At 37.3% G+C, this 5,547-nt stretch overlaps 1 annotated feature.

The window, feature by feature from the left end:
* Positions 698 to 1,263: an enhancer, noted in NCBI's record as "NANOG hESC enhancer chrX:4139581-4140146 (GRCh37/hg19 assembly coordinates)". NCBI's record gives its function as "activates a minimal SCP1, AML or CMV promoter by ChIP-STARR-seq in primed H9 embryonic stem cells {active_cell/tissue: H9 hESC(primed)}" and the evidence as "EXISTENCE:reporter gene assay evidence [ECO:0000049][PMID:30033119]".

Genomic DNA, 5,547 nt, shown 5'->3' on the forward strand with positions numbered 1-5,547 from the left:
GTCAAAATTAACATCTCTGGAGAATGTCCAGCCTTCCAAATATGATTCCTTGATCAAATACTCCCATTCCTGAAAAACCTTCCTTTGATATCAAAATTTTTAAAGAATAAAATGTTGACTAAACCATTAAATTTTAATTTAATTTTGTAAGATTGTTGGTTTCTAGAATTTAACAGCATCATATATTTTAACAATTTAATACATTAGAAATAACAGATTTAAATGTTTAAAAGTTTAGAGGCTTTTTTAAGAGTATAACTCATAGACCATAACGTTCAACCTTTCAAAGTATACAGTTCGATGGTTTTTTCTATGTTCAGAGTTTTACAACCATCACCACTATCTAACTTCAGAATATTTTCATCATCACACAGAAACCCAGTACCCATTAAGTAGTTACTTCCCATACACTCTCCCTCCAGCCCTGACAACCACTAATCTGTTTTCTGACTCAACAATCTTTCAGCTACTGTGATAGTCACTGACAAAAACATTTGAGTTCAAAGAAGATATAATCAAAGACTGGTGGCTTGCTCGGGGAACTGTCTTACTGCTCTGCAGGTGTTTTTGCCATAAGTATGTCCACTTGATCCTCAATTCATTCCTGATATGGTTTGGCTCTGTGTCCCCACCTGAATCTCATGTCAAATTGTAATTCCCAGTGTTGAGGGAGGGATCTGGTGGGAGGTGATTGGATCACGGGGGTGCACTTTCCCTTTGCTGGTCTCATGATAATGAGTGAGTTCTCACGGAACCTGATGGTTTTAAAGTATGTAGCACTTTCCCCTTTGCTCTCTCTCTCTCTCCTGCCGCCATGTGAAGAGGGTGCTTGCTTCCCCTTAGCTTTCTGCCATGATTGTAAGTTTCCTGAGGCCCCCAGTCATGCTTTCTGTTAAGCCTGTGGAACTGTGAGTCAATTAAAGTTCTTTTGTTTATAAATTACCCCGTCTCAGGTAGTTCTTTATAGCACTGTGAGAACGAACTAATACAATTTCCTTTGTTGTGCATACATCCAACATAAAGAACCCCATTCCCCATGCTCAGTTGGGGATTAAAAGCAATTGAATAACTTTTTCCATAGACATTGTCATTCTTCTCTTGTAAATTCAGGGATTGAGGTCTTGGTGGATGACTACTGTCATCTGTGTATGAGCTGGACATAAGGTTGAAGGAAGTGACTGAAGGTAAATTACAGCCTTACTCACCATCCTAAAAATCCCAGCCTTCCATTGTGGAGCTTGAGGGCCCTGATACAGCATTATTAGTGCTCTGGAAATATAACATGACTGACCAGGAGCCAGCACGGATGAAAAAATGCCCAGTTGCCCCATCAATTGCTCAAAATCTATTATTCACACTACACAAAAACACACAGCATATGAGGTCATAAATAAGTTAATTAGCTTTATTTAGTCACCCCACAATGTATACAAATATCAAAACATCATGCTGTACACAACTAATATATACATTTTTGTCAAATGGTAAATACATTTAAATTTTTAAAATCTATTTATTTTAACCTATTTTTTAAATATTTATTCATTTGTTTTTTGAGACAGAGTCTCACTCTGTCACCCAGGCTGGAGTGCAATGGCGCGAACTTGGCTCACTGCAAGCTCCGCCTCCTGGGTTCAAGCAATTCTCCCGCCTCAGCCTCCCGATACAGGCACCCACCATCATGCCTGGCTAATTTTTATATTTTTGTAGAGATGGGGTTTCACCATGTTGGCCAGGCTGGTCTTGAACCCCTGACCTCAGATGATCCACCCACCTCAGCCTCCTAAAGTGCTGGGATTACAGGCGTGAGCCACCGCACCTGTCCATCTATTTTTATTTTTAAGGGATAGAGTTTCACTATGTTTCCCAGGTTGGACTTGAACTCTTGGCCTCAAGTGATCTTCCCACCTTGGCCTAAATGCAAGTGTGGTGGTGCTTGTCTATAGTCCCAGGTGTGATTTATTTCAGATCACTCACTATCTTCATTATCCTGAAGTATGAATCTACAAGGCATGATTTTATGATTCTATGGATTAGGATCAAGAGTGTCTTTTTGAATATTTACATAGAGGGGCTGAAAAATGAATCTCCTGTAGAATGTCTTAGTAAGAAATTGCATTTAAAATGTGAAGCAAATTGAATATGTGAAGCATATTGAATACCAACAAATACATATAATTATGGTCCATATTGAAATCTCAAAGACCAATATAATTTAGGGCAAAAATAGGGATACTAAACTTAATAACAAAGAGAGGCTATTTTATCCTTCCAAAATAAAAAGACATCGCTGATTAAAGAAGAGCCCTGTAAAGAGAACTCCATTAACCATTGTTCTGCTCATTTATTTAGTGCAGGCAAAGACATTGTTCTCAATGTCCCTGGAGTGGCCTTAGAAAGCCACAGAACACAAAAATACAAGTATTAATAACAACAGATCATTAATGAATACTTGTTAACTTTTACAATACATTTGTTATACATAAAATTAATAATTTGTTACCAATTAAATTAATAATATATGAACGCATGGATAATTTAACATTAAGAACCCAGGTTTGAGTCAACCAGGAAAAGAAAAGTGGAATTCCACAGTATGGTCATGCATCTTAGTAGAATAAAAGAATCTCTATGACCTACCCATCTTTGCCTCTTTGCTAGCAGAATACCTCCTCTCTTACCTTGCCTGAAACAATGCAAAACAGCAAAGATACTTTTTTTATGACCCAAAACATTACTTTATCCACCTGGCAATTTTGTTTTCCTGTTGGAATTACTTTTTTAAACGAAATCATGAGGAGCTCCAGTTAAGAAGCAAAGTGTGTTGTTTTTCTTCCTAGATGGAATGTTTTGTTGTAACTCACAGGAACATATATGGGCAGTACAATCTTTCTCAAGGTGGTTTCTGAAATGCATCACATCTAAACAGACACTGTATTGTCTCTCCTCCACATAAACAAGCCTTTATCAGCCATGATGCAAAAAATCAATATTTTGATTATGTGAATTTTTATACTATTAAAATAATAAAAAAAAACTTTAGAAGAATTTAGCAGAGTTTATTTGAGCAAAGAGTGATTCACGAGTTGGGCAGCACTTGGGAGCAGAGGAGGTTCAGAAAGCTGTGCCAAGCAGTGTGACAAGAGAGGTTTTATAGACCAAATACAGAAGCAAAGTAGAAAAATCATCTGATCGGCCACAGCTGGCCATCTTCTTTATTTGGGCATAATGTGATGAGACATTCACCTTATTTGAGAACAATCTGATTGGTTGTATAGCTGCGATTAACTGAAGCTCAACTGTTTGTAATGAGGTGAAACCCTAAGTTTTTCTTTCCTACATATTACATTAAATCTCTGTTTGTTATGTAGAGACTCCAAGTATGGAAGCATGACCACCTCATTTAATTTAACAAGACTTACAGTCCACCATTGGAGTCAGAATAGTACCTTTGTAAAAGAAATGTGTGTGAATTTTTCAAGAGCTGTGGCTTCCTTCAGCATCAAAGTTATTTTACACTGACATGTGCTCCATCTTCGGGATTTTTGTTTTTGTTTTTCTGAGACAGGGTCTTGCTTAGTCACCCAGGCTGGAGTGCAGCAGTGTGATCTCAGCTCACTGCAACCTCCACTTCCCAGGTTCAAACGATTCTCATGCCTCAGTTTCCCGAGCAGCTGGGACTACAGGCATGCGCCACCATGCCCAGCTAATTTCTGTATTTTTAGTAGAGACGGGGTTTCGCCATGTTGGCCAGGCTGGTCTTGAACTCCTGGCCTCAAGTGATCCACCTACCTCGGCCTCCCATAGTGTTGGGATTACAGGCGTGAGCCACCGCACCTGGCCTGGATTCTTTTGATGAGGTCCTGCAAGGGAAGGAGGAAAGCTTTCAAACGCTATGGAAATAGCACTGCAACTCCTGTTAATTGCTAATCCTGCATCCCAGAGAACCCCAGTGAATTGTGTGGTTGTTACAAGTATGAGCAGTTAGGGTTATTTTGAATATACTACCCAAACTCTTTTAAATGTGTGACTCCTGTTTTGTGTGTGTGTGTGTGTGTGTCTGTGTGTATGTGTCCTAGCTTTTCTCATCCTCTAGACAGATGTTAGCTGTGCATATATGTTAGCCTAATCGGGGGGGAAAACATGAGACACACGTATTATAAGTAGAGAGTTTATTTAGTCCAAGTTTGAAGATTGTAACCCAGGACCATAGGTTCAAGTTGCCCTGAATGTGTGCTCTGATTAACAGCAGGAACAAGTGAGTTTTTAAAGGAAAAGAAGAGGCAGTTCCTAAATTGTTTATCAAGAATTTACATGAAAGTAACATAAAATATTGATTGGCTGTACATTGTTCTTTGTATCACAAATTCCAGGGACATGAAGCTACTAAGTGAGGCAGCGAGTCAGAAATAAAATGCTTTCAAACAATTGCCCCCAGGCATGGGTACGAGGGTGAGTGAGTGTGGCTGAAGTCTCACATACACTTGTTTCCCTGGGCCTCATAAGTTTTGCATACTTCACATAACTCAGAGTACTCTGAGCTATAAAAATATCTATAAATATTATGTTGCTAACATTCTCCTGGAATTTGAGTAAGACTGGAAAAATCTTACAAAATAAATCATAAACTTCTATCTCAAATTTCTTTCAAAATTTCTAAATGACATCTATGCAAACCCAATTTGGAAAATAAATTGTGAACAAAAAAAAAATCACTTTAGAACTTACCAATTTTAATGGAATTTCAAGAAAACCCCAAAACAAACAAAAACATATGGAGAAGAATCTCTCTTGTAGAAATCACTCAACTGTAATATCCCTGAAGTTTAATTTCTTTGCATGGAAAAGAAACTGATTATAAAACTTGTTTAAAATGAGTTGAATGAGATAGTTTAAGAGTAATGTTCAATACGTTTTGATTTAAATAATAGATTGCTCACAGAATAAGTGTATGTTGATTTAAGCCTTCATTTTCTCATAATAGGAAATTTTACTGCTTTCCACACAGTATGACAGCTTGAGTTATAGCACAGCGGGTCGGAGCAAGAGCAACAATTGAGAACCATGTGCGTACAATTATGCAAATCCCTTATCATCGCCCCCTCCCCTAGGTCTCATTTAATTGTCTTCTTCTATATATGCAGCACTAATATTTCTAGAATCAGGGAAAAAAAGAAATAAAAATGAATAAAGCCTTATTCAAAGCCACAAGTGAATAAACACAATCATTAAATAGGACAATATGCAGAATAAAAATAGAAGGAAACTCCCATAAGGAACTAAAACACCAAAGAGAGAGAAAATATTTTAAGACTTTGTCTCTTTCTGTTGTAAACCATATGGATGTTCCAAACCAAAGCAAAAACTTTGGTAAAGTTGGAAGGCAATTCATTTACAAGGAATAAACTTTTTTCTACCTCTGATTTAAATTTTTCACCATTTTAATCCTTTATTCTTTTCCTGATTTAATGCAATTTTTTTTTCTCTTGGAGATTTGAGAATGGGACATATGCTGAACCCTATAAGCAAATGTCATAACTACTTGTT

Source organism: Homo sapiens, chromosome X, assembly GCF_000001405.40.
Source record: "Homo sapiens chromosome X, GRCh38.p14 Primary Assembly".
In the NCBI taxonomy this organism is placed as follows: domain Eukaryota; kingdom Metazoa; phylum Chordata; class Mammalia; order Primates; family Hominidae; genus Homo; species Homo sapiens.